This window comes from Homo sapiens, chromosome 2 (genome assembly GCF_000001405.40).
Source record: "Homo sapiens chromosome 2, GRCh38.p14 Primary Assembly".
NCBI lineage: Eukaryota > Metazoa > Chordata > Mammalia > Primates > Hominidae > Homo > Homo sapiens.
Genome location: NC_000002.12, coordinates 135,218,869 through 135,233,267, shown reverse-complemented (window position 1 = coordinate 135,233,267; position 14,399 = coordinate 135,218,869). Strand labels below are relative to the sequence as shown.

The 14,399-nt window shown below is 40.0% G+C and overlaps 1 protein-coding gene and 1 long non-coding RNA gene across 5 annotated transcripts in view, besides 1 other annotated feature; one reads left to right on the top strand and one right to left on the bottom strand.

The window, feature by feature from the left end:
* ZRANB3 (zinc finger RANBP2-type containing 3) overlaps nt 1–14,399 on the top strand; it is a 334,250-nt gene that overhangs the window by 297,951 nt on the left and 21,900 nt on the right. For 2 of the 3 annotated variants that reach the window (NM_032143.4, NM_001286569.1), the window contains 4 exons: nt 2,341–2,755; nt 5,253–5,456; nt 8,751–8,842; nt 14,090–14,191. In NM_032143.4, the coding sequence (NP_115519.2) occupies nt 2,341–2,755; nt 5,253–5,456; nt 8,751–8,842; nt 14,090–14,191 (813 nt within the window). The remainder of the gene's footprint in view (nt 1–2,340; nt 2,756–5,252; nt 5,457–8,750; nt 8,843–14,089; nt 14,192–14,399) is intronic. The other variant, NM_001286568.2, reaches the window with a different exon arrangement.
* On the bottom strand, nt 4,761–7,552 carry LOC124906077 (uncharacterized). Of its 2 annotated transcripts, XR_007087244.1 has the most exons (3): nt 7,218–7,552; nt 6,756–6,835; nt 4,761–4,937 (listed from the first exon to the last, which is right to left on the bottom strand). It is a non-coding gene; the product is annotated as an uncharacterized LOC124906077 (long non-coding RNA). The 2 variants fall into 2 exon arrangements; XR_007087243.1 differs by having other exon boundaries at nt 4,761–6,835.
* Nucleotides 9,763–9,927: a silencer, noted in NCBI's record as "fragment chr2:135980911-135981075 (GRCh37/hg19 assembly coordinates)". NCBI's record gives its function as "represses an EF-1alpha promoter that drives an FKBP-Casp9 reporter gene in an ReSE screen in K562 erythroleukemia cells {active_cell/tissue: K562}" and the evidence as "EXISTENCE:reporter gene assay evidence [ECO:0000049][PMID:32094911]".

Here is a 14,399-nt window from a genome sequence, read left to right as displayed (position 1 = left end):
TTGTTCATTTCTTTTTATTCTTTTTTCTCTAAATTTCTCTGCTCGCTTCATTTCATTCATTTGATCTTCCATCACTGATAGTCTTTCTTCCAGTTGATCAAATCGGCTACTGAGGCTTGTGCATTCATCACATAGCTCTCGTGCCATGGTTTTCAGCTCCATCAGGTCCTTTAAGGACTTCTCTGCATCGGGTATTCTAGTTAGCCATTCGTCTAATTTTTTTTCAAGGTTTTTAACTTCTTTGCCATTGGCTGAAACTTCCTCCTTTAGCTCGGAATAGTTTGATTGTCGGAAGCCTTCTTCTCTCACCTTGTCAAAGTCATTCTCCATCCAGCTTTGTTCCGTTGCTGGTGAGGAGCTCGTTCCTTTGGAGGAGGAGAGGCACCCTGATTTTTAGAGTTTCCAGTTTTTCTGCTCTGTTTTTTCCCCATCTTTGTGATTTTATCTACCTTTGGTCTTTGATGATGGTGATGTATAGATGGGGTTTTGGTGTGGATGTCCTTTCTGTTTGTTAGTTTTCCTTCTAACAGTCAGGACCCTCAGCTGCAGGTCTGTTGGAGTTTGCTGGAGGTCCACTCCAGACCCTGTTTGCCTGGGTATCAGAAGCAGAGGCTGTAGAACAGCGGATATTGGTGAACAGCAAATGTTGCTGCCTGATCATTCCTCTGGAGGTTTTGTCTCAGAGGAGTACCTGGCCATGTGAGGTGTCAGTCTGCCCCTACTGGGGGCTGCCTCCCAGTTAGGCTACTCGGGGTTCAGGGACCCACTTAAGGAGGCAGTCTGTCCATTCTCAGATCTCCAGCTGCATGCTGGGAGAACCACTACTCTCTTCAAAGCTGTCAGACAGGGACATTTAAGTCTGCAGAGGTTTCTGCTGCCTTTTGTTTGGCTGTGCCCTGCCCCCAGAGGTGGATGGAGTCTACAGAGGCAGGCAGGCCTCCTTGAGCTGTGGTGGGCTCCACCCAGTTCGAGCTTCCAGGCACTTTGTTTACCTACTCAAGCCTCAGCAATGGCAGGCGCCCCTCCCCCAGCCTCACTGCAGCCTTGCAGTTTGATTTCAGACTGCTGTGCTAGCAATGAGCAAGGCTCCATGGGTGTAGGACCCTCTGAGCCAGGCGCGGGATATAATCTCCTGGTGTGGCATTTGCTAAGACCGTTGGAAAAGCGCAGTATTAGGGTGGGAGTGACCCGATTTTCCAGGTGCCATCTGTCACCTCTTTCTTTGACTAGGAAAGGGAATTCCCTGACCCCTTGCGCTTCCCGGGTGAGTCGATGCCTCGCCCTGCTTCAGCTAATGCTCAGTGCGCTGCACCCACTGTCCTGCACCCACTGTCTGACACTCCCCAGTGAGATGAACCTGGTACCTCAGTTGGAAATGCAGAAATCACCCATCTTCAGTCATGCTGGAAGCTGTAGACTGGAGCTGTTCCTATTCGGCCATCTTGGCTCCATCCCCCGTTTTTTTGTGTGTGTTTTTTTTTTGACAGGGTCTCACTCCTTTGCCTCAGCTGAAGTGCAGTGGCACAATCACAGCTCACTGTAGCCTCAACCTCCGAGGCTCCAGCAGTCTTCCCACCTCAGCTCCCCGAGTAGCTGGGACTACAGGTGCACACCACCACTCCTGGCTAATTTTTGTTTTGGGGTTTGTTTTTTGTTTTTTTGTGTTTTTTTGTAGTGACGGGGTTTCACCGTGTTGCCCAAGCTAGTCTTGAACTCCTGGGCTCAGGCAGTCCTGCCATATCAGCCTCCCAAAGTGCTAGGATTATCGGCATGAGCCACCGCACCCAGCCTAATTAACAGCTTCCTGGTCAAGAAAACATTTTCATATGAATAACATTATGTGTGAGCATTGTGTTTATATTTTAGGTGTGAAAGCATTTTTTTAGGTCCTTGATTGACCTGAAATATTTGAATACACAGTTGCCTTTTTTTCCGTGACATATATTTAGGGTAATGTATTAAGTATATTTTTGTTATATAACTGCTCTAACCAAGTTATCTTACCTCTCTAAAGCTGCAGTTTCTTCCGAAATGTTATAATAATACTAGTATTGACTTCATAGAGCTGATGTGAGGATTAAATGAGTTAATATATGTTAAATGCTTGGCACACAATAAGTGCTGAGAAAAAAGTTAGACACAGGAAGTACATGGATATGTTTTACATATATATATTTATATATGTATATATGAAGAGTCAGAGCATAATGAATTCATTTCCAAAAGGTATTTAAAGGATAAGGCAATATGGTTAATTAAAATATTTTGTTAAGCTCTTTTATGTAAGAAGAACATATTAGATTGCTTCTTACTTTGATAACTACTGTTTGCTTTTCCTAGTTCGAAAAAGAAAAACAGCATGATATTCGATCATTTTTTGTACCACAACCTAAAAAAAGACAGTTGATGACCTCCTGTGACGAATCAAAGAGATTCCGGGAGGAAAATACTGTAGTGTCATCAGACCCTACAAAAACAGCTGCAAGAGATATCATCGATTATGAAAGTGATGTTGAACCTGAAACGAAAAGATTGAAATTGGCTGCCTCGGAAGACCACTGCAGTCCGTCGGAAGAGACACCATCCCAGTCCAAGCAAATCCGAACTCCACTCGTGGAAAGTGTACAGGAGGCCAAGGCCCAGTTAACCACCCCAGCCTTTCCTGTAGAGGGCTGGCAATGTAGTCTCTGCACCTATATCAATAATTCAGAGTTACCTTATTGTGAAATGTGTGAGACTCCTCAAGGCAGTGCTGGTGAGTATATAGAAGGTGACCATGGAGGTAAGGGCTGTTAGTGGTGTCTTCAGATAACCTGTGCTTTTAGAGACTGCTGTTATCCAGGGTTAGTGTGACTCAGCACAACTTTAGCTTTTAAATTGGAATAAGAGCTTCTTATAGTGAAGACTGAATTTATCCCTTATGGAATGTGAAAAGCTCTCAGTTCTGTCAAGAATGTATATCCCCAAACGTCTGTGATATGGCATTAATTTGGCACAAATGGACATTTCTGATTAATGTCAGCAGGATATGAATTCAGTGAGCAGGAATAGAAGCTCTGTTGCTATGGTAGCAAATATGCCTTATACTCATAGACCTTCTATTTTCTCTCCTCTGTAGCTAATACTTGTTTTTAAGGAAATTGTGGATTATTTTTATGTTTAAATGGCAAAATAATCTAATGTAGCTTCTTTGCCTAGTCAGTATACATTGTGCCATGGTTTTTGCTTGTCAAAGCATCAAAACTCCTCTATGGATCAATCTTCATTTGTGAACCAATTTGATGTCTGGTTTTTTTGAGTTTATTCTTTTTTAAAACATATTATTTTAAAGTCAGAAATCATAAATATACCTCAAGTATGTTTTTATAGCATGGGATACCATTTTCTGATGTTTAGTTTCTGAAATGATTATTAATACCCGTGGTTGTCGTAAGAAAAAGATCATGCGTATTCTTGTTTCCAATTCTATAGAGCATTTTTATAGTAATAAAAATGCCAAGTTGACAGTTTTGGAAACTGGAAGTACACATTGTATTTTATCAGTTGTAATAATTGTACACATCTAATTTTGCATCATACATTAACTCTTCAAAATATTGGCGGCCGGGCGCGGTGGCTCACGCCTGTAATCCCAGCACTTTGGGAGGCCGAGGCGGGCGGATCACGAGGTCAGGAGATCGAGACCATCCTGGCTAACACGGTGAAACCCCGTCTCTACTAAAAATACAAAAAATTAGCCGGGCGTGGTAGCGGGCGCCTGTAGTCCCAGCTACTCGGGAGGCTGAGGCAGGAGAATGGCGTGAACCCGGGAGGCGGAGCTTGCAGTGAGCCGAGATCGCGCCACTGCACTCCAGGCTGGGCAACAGAGCGAGACTCCGTCTCAAAAAAAAAAAAAAAAAAATATTGGCATTGACAAAGACTCAGCTAAGATATAAATTCTGATATTGCAGTTCCTTCCTCTTGCCTTGCTCTTCTCTCTGTCTTAATTTTGATTTGAAGGAAAATGTAGGGAGGAGCTGAGTCTTCCCTCTTTCACTTCTGGGTACTCCCACCAAAATTGACAAGTCTGCCCTCTGAGTGGTTATATTTGTATGTGGGCACCTGTTGTCTGTGAACTAAATTGGAATCACATGCTTATTCCATGTAATATCTCTGTCACAATTAGCATGATTGCATGCAATTCCCAACTGCTACAGGCAATAAAAATAAGCTCTATTGTGACTATAAAATAATGTTAGTTCACATTAAATGTATAAGTTGAATGATTTAGCAACAAAAGTCATAATTTAATATGGGTTTTATAGTTCTGATTTTTCCTTTGCAATACCAAGAGCAACAATGAAAATTTCTAGACCCATGATTCAATAAGGAATCTGTCAAGCAACTTAAAAAAATAAAAACTACCTTTTGTGAATAAGAAAGTCTGATTAGAGAGAAATACATAGTCTAAGTAACAGTGATATTACTATATATAAAAAATATAATTATTAGATTTATATTTCTACCACTGCCACATCTGATACCCAAATCTTCTCCTCCCTGTTCTTTACTACATCATGCTAAAAACTTGGGCTGTATCTTTGGTCTCTTTCTCGCCTCCCACACTCAACCCATCAAGTAACCTCCAAATAAATCTTGATTCCAACCACTTTATCTTTATTGCTACCATCCTACTCTAAAGCCACCATCTTTCTCCCAGACCTCAATAGCCTCCATATTAATCTGATCCTTCAGTGCACAGCAGCCAAAGTGATCCTTTATTTCTTTGCCTAAAACTCTTTAATGGCTTCCAGTTACATTTAGAATATTTAGACCAAGAATATAGGCCCGAGTCCAAGCTTCCTAGAGCCATGAACAGCTCTCAGCTCAAATGGGACTCCTCTCAGAGCTTGGTCCTCATGACTTTTGCTATAGTAGTGCTCTCCAAAACCTTCTTACTGAAAAAAAAAAAAAAACAAAACTTAGTTGTGTTCTCTTTATCTGAAAATATACTATTTACCTATTTGTTAATTTTATTGTCTTTCTCTGCCATTTAGAATGGAGTCTAGAATGCAGGGATTTCTCTGTCCTGTTCCTGCTGTCTCTTCAGCATCTAGAATAGTACTGGGTATATAGTATGCTCCTGATAAATGTTTTGAACATATGAATAAACATTATTCACTTTCTTTTTATAAGACCTAACTGTTACATTCTTTTTACTTTACTTTTAAATGTAAATTATTACATTTTTGTAATAATTTTTATTTTAATAGTTATGCAAATAGATAGCCTCAACCATATCCAGGATAAAAACGAGAAGGATGATTCTCAGAAAGACACCTCCAAAAAGGTTCAAACTATCTCAGACTGTGAAAAACAAGCCCTTGCACAGTCAGAACCTGGCCAGTTGGCTGACAGCAAGGAAGAAACACCAAAAATTGAGAAAGAAGACGGACTTACATCCCAGCCAGGTAATGGTAAGTCTTGTTTCCATTTCTAGCATCCAAGTAATAACCATATACTTTCACACATAATACTGTTATTAGATTAGTAATTACTACCTTGTTCCAGGTTCCTTTTACTCTCTTTTATATTAAAAATACCAACCATTTGTAACCACATACTTAAACACCAGATGTCTAGAAGAGCTGAGTGTGTCTGTTGGCATTCAGACATTACACATAGAGCAAAACCGATAAATAGCTACATGTGCTGCCACCAGGCCTGTTGCCCAGCCTCAACCAAGCCTAGCTCATTCACACAGTAAGGGTGTTGTTTTGATATTTGGGAGGTGCTTTGGGACAAAACAGTAAGACTGACAGATAATTAACTAACACTTAGCATATCATTAATCCTTTACACAAAAATTCTTGTAAATAGTTATACTTAATTGGCATATTTTTAAAAAAGTATTTTAAAGAAAATGTTTTTAGGGAACATAATGTCAAGACTGTATGAATCATGACTGCATTTGTAGCCAACCATACAGTGTTTTGGGTTTGTTTACTTTTTGGTTGATTCCATTCATTATTTATAGCTGTGATGGTTAGCAAATACTAGCCTGTATGTCATATTTCACTATCGTTTATGGGCTAGCTGGCAAGAGACTGAGTACTTTTGGGTTATTTTCCTTGTTACTCATTTAGTGACCATAGTAACATACAGATTGATATTCTTATTCAGATAAACCCAATAGTTGGGATGAGACTGTTGAAGCTTTTCTTCTAAGTTAGTTGCTATTAAACACTAATATAATTTAGAGTCTGACTCATAGCTTTAAAATGAAATGTTCATTTAAGAATTTCTGAGCTCAAGGCATCCTTCTTTCTTCTTCTCTCAGCCTTCCTTCTAACTCCTCAAGGTCTTCCCAAAGCATGTCTTGGAATGGATCTGTTTAGATCTGTTAATTTTAACAGCTTTTAAGTAGACAGTGTAGACTCAGGTGGGTTATACTCTTTTGTGTCTCTAGTTTTCTTGATCTCACTGTGAGAAACTCTCAAGTGCTGATGAAACTCTGGTAATGGGACAGCATATGGCTCAGTGAACTAAATATGAGACTAGGAACCAACACCTGGCAATTGTCATCACCTGGGCTATGAGTCTCTTCATCTATGGCAGGGAAGTATTGGCTTGTTAGTTGTACATTGATCTCTTGATAAAAACATGTTAGCTTGTACTTACAAATGTTTTTTAAAAATCACTTTGAAGTTTTGTTCTGCCAGTGAAATTTGCTTTGCCCTCATTCACTCCAGACAATGCCAGCATTTACCCCTTACCTAGTCGTGCTTCCCTCTTTTGACTTTTCAGATCACTGGGCTGAGAATTCCACATAAGAGGTATGCTTCACATCTTTCCACTAACATGGATTTCCATGAAAAACAAACAGAAAACAAAGTAGGCACACTATGTTAAATGCTTATTCTACCTACATATGCTCTTTTAGAACCAGAGTGGTACATACTACTCTAGAACTGTAGTTTTGTTCTCTCTGGAATTCCAGGAGTTTGGAAGAATGACCATAGATGCATCATCTATAGTCTCAAACCATTAATTTACACTTCATGGCAACACTGAAAAGAGAAATATGTTCCCTAATATAGCTGATAGCTATCAAGAATTAATATCAACTGATTTGGAATTGTTGTTACAGTTATTTTTATCAAAGAATGGCTTCTGATCTTTAAGCATTAATGCATAGTTCTTCAAAGAAAACTGCCAATTAAGCTATGACACAATACCTTAATGATAGCCCAGGCCAGGCCACATCATCCTCTGTTGCTTGGACATTTCTTTCATTTATTCTGAGGGATTTGGCAATTTCTCCTGCTTTCAGTTGCTTTCTTTGGCATGTAATAGGCAACCCTTTTGAACATCTCAGTAACCAATGTAAGACACTTTCCTCTATTTGCAGAGCTCTTGCTTCCTTCAGTACCATGAAGCACTCCATTATTCCTTTACAAGAAAATAAGATATTTTGGTTATTCCTCCAGTGATACACATTTGCTTCTTTAATACCAAGTTTATGCTTTCCTGGTCTGTATCCAAGTTTTATGGTATACATGATAACTTTTCATTTCAATACCAAATCATAGTGAAAAAATTTAAAGACATTTTAAAGGTAATAAAGTAAATACATATAGTAGCAACAATGCATATACCTCATGTGTAGTGTAAAAGTGACAATAGTATTACAGCTATGACTCAGCTCATCCATACTAAGGCAAAGACAACTATTTTACAACTGCCACATGGCCAGCAATGATTGTAAAATGCCATTGTTGTTATTGGCTGTAAGACATGCCAGTTTCAGAGATGTTAAAGTGCGTTTTTGAATTTACAAAATAAGGGAATAATTCATAAATCAAGTTTGTAAAGTGGGCAATGCCTTGATTAGAAAAATAATAGTATGATGACATTGCCAAGTAGAATGGCAAACAAATCATAGACTTCTAGGTCTGGGAAAGTACTTTAAAAGATCACTGAGGAACTGTGAGAGAAGGTAAGAGCACAGACTCTGGAGCCAGCTTGCAGGTTTTACATCCTCTTACTAGCCATATGACCATAAGTAAGTTAACGTGCCTCAGTTTCTTCCTATGTAAAATGCACTATTTATTTCTAAAAGGTGTTACTGTATGTACCTACAACAGTGCCTGGCACATTGTATGTGCTCACTAAATGTTAACTATAATTGTTATTTAGACCTGCGTTGATAATCCTGTATCTCCTGCAAAATATATTGGACAGTAGGACTGAGAAAGGGCTAAAAAAGAAGAGATTATCAGAAAAGAAGCTTGTCTGCTTATCTTCTTTTGTGAATGTCAGGCACCAGGCTACAGGGAATCAGGCATTTAAGTGGCCCTCAACATAGCGATGTTGCTGCTAATAATCAAAATGATGCTCATTCGGTCTCAAATCTACTCTAGCAAAAGGAATAGATTAGTCTAAATTTTTTCAAGACCAATAGCAGCTCTTATTGGTGGAAATTCTTCCTTATGCCTACCAACTTGTATTTTTTCAGCTAATTCTGAATCTGTTTGTTTCTTGTTAGATCATTAGCAAAAATGTAAAACAATTGGTTACCATATAAGCCAATATGCTCTTCAATGGCCTACCGTGGTAGTTTTATTTCAAGCCTAGACAATTACTTTTTGTTAAATATATTGATATTTTGATATAGCTATTTCATCGTTCTAACCTACACACGATTAAAATAAGCTATTTTAGATAGAGGGTAGATAAGCCTTCAGGTTCTCTTTTGTCTTCTTTAATAGAACAGTGGAAGAGTTCAGACACTTTGCCAGTGTATGACACCTTAATGTTCTGTGCAAGTAGGAATACTGACCGGATTCACATCTATACTAAGGTAAGCGTCATGCAGATTCTGTAACTTGAAACATAAAAAAGACTTCCTTTTTTCACTTTTCAGTGGAGATACTTAATTTTATTAACATTGAGATAAGCATCTAGTTATTTTCCTCAAAGCTAATTCTCAAATTTCTGTGTTAAATCTACAGACAATGAGAGGTAAAACCACACGTCTTTAAGAACATAGACTTCAGGGCTAGACTGCTTCAGTTCAAATCTGTTAGTATGTAATCTTGGACACATTACTCAACTGCTCAGTGCATCAATTTCCTCAACTGTAAAATGTGGTATACCCCATTTACCCTGATGTGATTATTACACATTGTATGCCAGTATCAAAATATCTCATGTATCCCATAAATATATAAACCTACTGTGTACCCTTAAAAATTAAAAATTGTTAAAATAATAAAAAATAAAATGCAGACAGGATTTGTTATAAAGATAAAACAAGCTGAGTCCTGTAAAGCACTTAGCACAGTGCCTGGCCTATATGAACTCTCCATAAATGTTAATTCCTGCAATGATCACTTGCAGCAGCAGGAGCAGCAGCATCCTTACAGAAGCCTAGACCTGCCCATTTGTGTTGAGTAAATGTTAGGAAGCTTTTTGTCAGATGATTGCTGATTCCTGCCATAGGCTAGCTTAGTAGTGCCCAAACTTTTTAGATTCAGTACCCCTTTGCACTCCTAAAATTTATTGAGAACCCCAAAGAGCTTTTGTTTGTATGGGTTATATCTATTGATGTCTACTATATTTGAAATTAAAATGGAGCCTCTCAGAAATACTCATTTATGGCTGGGTGTGGTGGCTCATGCCTGTAATCCCAGCACTTGGAGAGGCCAAGGTGGGTGGATCACCTGAGGTCAGGAGTTTGAGAGCAGCCTGGCCAACGTGGTGAAACCCCCCACCTCTACTAAAAATATGAAAATTAGCTGGGTGTGGTAGCAAGTGCCTTTAATCGTAGCTACTCAGGAGGCTGAGGCAGGAGAATCGCTTGAACCTGGGAGGCAGAGGTTGCAGTGAGCCAAGATCGCGCCACTGCACTCCAGCCTGGGTGACAAAATGAGACTCTGTCTCAAAAAAAAAAAAATGTTTTTTTCATTTATTCACTTAAATGTGAATAATTAACAATTACATTTTTCTATTTCTGTTTTGTATTTTTTGTTTTTTTTAGGACAGTCTCGCTCCGTTGCCCAGGCTAGAGTGCAGTGGTGCAATCTCGGCTCACTGCAACCTCTGCCTCCTGGGTTCAAACGATTCTCCTGCCTCAGCCTCCAGGTAGCTGGGACTACAGGTGCCCACCACCATGCCTGGCTAATTTTTGTATTTTTAGTAGAGATGATGTTTCACCATATTGGCCAAGCTTGTCTCGACCTCTTGACCTTGTGATCCACCCACCTCAGCCTCCCGAAGTGCGGGGATTACAGGTGTGAGCCACCCACCTGGCCGTTTTTTGTTTGTTTGTTTGTTTTTGGAGAGAGAGGGTCTTGCTGTGTTGCCCAGACTGGTCTCAAACTCCTGGGTTCAAACAGTCCGCCCGCCTCAGCCTCCTAAAGTGCTAGGATTATAGGCGTGAGCCACTATGCCTGGCCAACAATTATTTTTAAGTGAGTAAATGCATATTTTAAGAGAAACAAACCCATTATATATATATAAAAATAACATTTTTTATTTAAAATAATTATATTTTCCAAGTCAAAAAAATATTTAGTGAGAAGAATGTCATTGTTTTAAATGTTTAGCAATTTTCTCTAAAGTCTTAATGGAAAACAGTGGGATTCCCATATCCATCTCTGCGTTCAGTTTGTTGAGATAGCATTTCATGTAGCCACTGGAAAAAGTCACCATACATTTGTGAAAGAATGAGAGTGGAAAAGGCAAACAGTATCTTACTATTAGTATGAAAACACTTATGACTTTCTGAAAGGATCACAGGAACCATGTGAGAATCTATGGCCTGGATAGATTATGAATACTTTTATTTGGTCTAAAATTTTAAATTTCTTTTTTTTTTTTTTTGAGACTGAGTCTAGCTCTGTCACCCAGGCTGGAGTGCAGTGGTGCGATCTCGGTTCACTGCAACCTCTGCCTCCCAGGTTCAAGTGATTCTCCTGCCTCAGCCTCCCGAATAGCTGGGATTGCAGCACCCACCACCACACCTAGCTAATTTTTCTATTTTTAGTAGAGACAGGGTTCCACTGTGTTGTCTAGCCTGGTCTTGAACTCCTGACTTCGTGATCTGCCTGCCTCAGCCTCCCAAAGTGCTGGGATTACAAACGTGAGCCACCACGCCCAGCCTAAAATTTTAAATTTCTAATCTTTATAAGTATATAAGATAGTATTTGAAACTTTTAAAACTCATGGTCCATTATATCGATGTTTAAAAGATAATATGTTGGAGATGACCAAACTTTCAGTTACAGGTTTTCTACTAAACCGAATATAGATATAGATAGATAGTGTACCATGTAATAATATTCTTTTAGGAGGAGATGGCTAGGATTTTGAATACCAGAATCCCCAAGCAGCCTCTAGCATGGACAATAACTGAGAGAGAGACACCAAGAACCAAGCCAGGCAGTAATCAATGCTCCTCTTATAGGTTTGGAGCCTGGTCTACCAAGTGGAGCCTCTGACATGGTGAACCAGGCTGCAGGGAGCACCAATGACTCCTTTATTCATCTTGAGGCAGGTTTAAGTGCCTGAGCCACCCTCATGCCCCATGTTGGGGGATCTTTAGGCCATGCCTCTTTCTCAGACCATCACATGAGAGGGACAGAGAAATGGTCCCAAGAGGGTAGAGAAACCAAAGGACAGACACCAGGCAGAGCATACCACAGAAATCCAGAAGCCCTTAAATTCTTTAATCTTTTTTTACTCTATACAATGAAAGCTCTGCCTCTTGGATTACCTGATCAATGTTTTATCCCCGTTGGGGTGGAGACGGAGAGAACTGCAAGCTCCTGGTAGAGGGTATAATGCACCTGCTGCCAAACCAAACCACAGCGACCACCTCACTGACCCGTATTCAGGCTCTGCCACCAGCCTAGTAGCCTGCTTCTTCTTGACATCTCTGTTAATGGTCTCAAATATATTTTTATGACTGTTCTAAATACTTACATGTCCCTTTACCATAAAATGTTATCACCCAAATAATTTTCCAAACACAAGACACTAAGCAGATGAGTTGTTGACATATCTTTTCACAACCAGAGTAGAGCTGAGATGAAAGCTTTCCTTTTCACCTTAAAAGAGCTGAAGTAAGGCTGGGCACAGTGGCTCACACCTGTAATCCCAACACTCTGGGAGGCCGAGGCAGGCGGATCACCTGAGGTCAGGAATTCGTGACCAGCCTGGCCAATATGGTGAAACCCCGACTCTACTAAAAATACAAAAATTATCTGGGCATGGTGGCAGGCACCAGTAATCCCAGCTACTTGGGAGGCTGAGGCAGGAGAATCGCTTGAACCCGGGAGGTACAGGTTGCAGTGAGCCAAGATCGTGCCACTGCACTCCAGCCTGGGCAAAAGAGTGTGACTCTGTCTCAAAAAAAAAAAAAAAATAAATTCCTAGTTCACTGCCTAAAAGGATATCCCTTTAAAGGAAGAGTAGTAACAGACATTTAGCATCCTGTGTCATATTAGAACTGTTCATTTCAGCTAGAATCCCAAGTCTATATCAGGGTTTAGAATTACATATCAATTTTTTTTTTTTTTTTTTTTTGAGATGGAGTCTCTCTCTGCCACCCAGGCTGGAGTGCAGTGGCGGGATCTAGGCTCACTGTAATCTCTGCCTCCCGGGTTCAAGCGATTCTCCTGCCTCAGCCTCCGGAGTAGCTGGGATTACAGGTGCACGCCACCATGCCCAGCTAATTTTTATATTTTTAGTAGAGACGGGGTTTCACCATGTTGGTCAGGCTCGTCTCGAACTCATGACCTCGTGGTCCTCCTGCCTCGGCCTCCCAAAGTGCTGGGAGTACAGGCATGAGCCACTGTGCCTGGCCTCAAAATTTTTAATCAGTGCCTACTTTTTGTATGTTTTTCTCCAAAGCAATTGTGGGAGCTGTAACTTTTTTTTTTTTTTGGCTGAGAGAATATGAGTTCAACTATTGTTGATATAATAGATTTTCGTATGAGATGTTCTTCTTCCCCTTTATAAAGGAAATAGCTCTACTACACCGCTGTATGTGGTTACTTTCTACCCTTAAGATTTCAGGGGCTGGGCGTGGTGGCTCATGCCTATAATCCTAGCACTTTGGGAGGCGGAGGCGGGAGAATCACTTGAGCCCAGGAGTTCAAGGTGGTAGGATCACTTGAGCCCAGGATTTTGAGACCAGCCTGGGCAACATGTTGAAAACCTGTCTCTACAAAAAATATAAAAAATTAGCCAGGCGTGGTGGAACGTGCCTGTAATTCCAGCTACTTGGGAGGCTGAGATGGGAGGATCACCTGGGCCCAGGACGTTGAGGCTGCAGTGAGCTGAGATCATGCTGCCGCACCCCAGCCTGGGTGACAGAGTGATACCTTGTCTCAAAAAAAAAGGGAAAAAAAAGATTTCAGGATGTTGTGCACCGATTGATGGGACCTAAATGCAGTTCCACTTACTCTCCAGGTGGTACCATTGGCAGACAGTCCTCATTGACTGATACTGTGACATTGCTTTGGGGGAGCCAATTTTTAAGTAATTTCTCTAGAATTGATCTTTCTACCTTCTCTTTACTTCCTTGTTCCTGTAACAATGGACAGGCATATCATTTGGTGAAGATTATTAAGACTATTCCTTGATACCATTCTTTGATGTGATACTTGTATTGTCAGTGAGTATAAAGAAGTTTATTTGCAAATTTGGAATGGTTGTGCTACTGTTAACTTCAAGGATGTAATATTCTTCTATATTAATTTGCAGTGTACAAATTTTATTGTTTTGATACATCTTTCCAAGATTAGTCAATAGAAAAGAGTATGACACAGCAGTAAACAAAGGATTCCAGGCTGAAGGCAATAGCCTTGGGCTAGGCATGGGCAATGGAGGCATCCAGTGCGGTAGAGAGCCTGCCTCCTCTTCTTGGCTCACAGTTTCTCCAGAGGAGCCATTTTGGTGGACCCTTGTCTAGAATGTGTCACCTCAGTTTTTCTTTTAGGAGACTAGGCATATTGTGTCATAATGTAATTATTTTCATTTAAAATAGTTACTAGTGCCTATACAAAAATGGATTATTAGTGTCTTCCTAATCTATCATCAGGATGGAAAACAGATGAGCTGTAATTTCATTCCTCTGGATATAAAATTAGACCTTTGGGAAGATTTACCAGCAAGCTTTCAGCTGAAACAATATCGCTCACTGGTAAGAATAGTTTTAAATAAAATGGCTTTATTTACTTTAAATAAACTTGTTTTAGTAATTTTAATGATCATTTTTAGTTTAATTTTAAAAAAGCACTTTGTGGCATGTTGTAGAGTCAAATCACTGGTTGCATTTTCATCATTCTAGGTGGTGCCTATTAATTACCCAGTGCTAAGAATATATGTGAAATCTGTTTCCTTGGCAAATG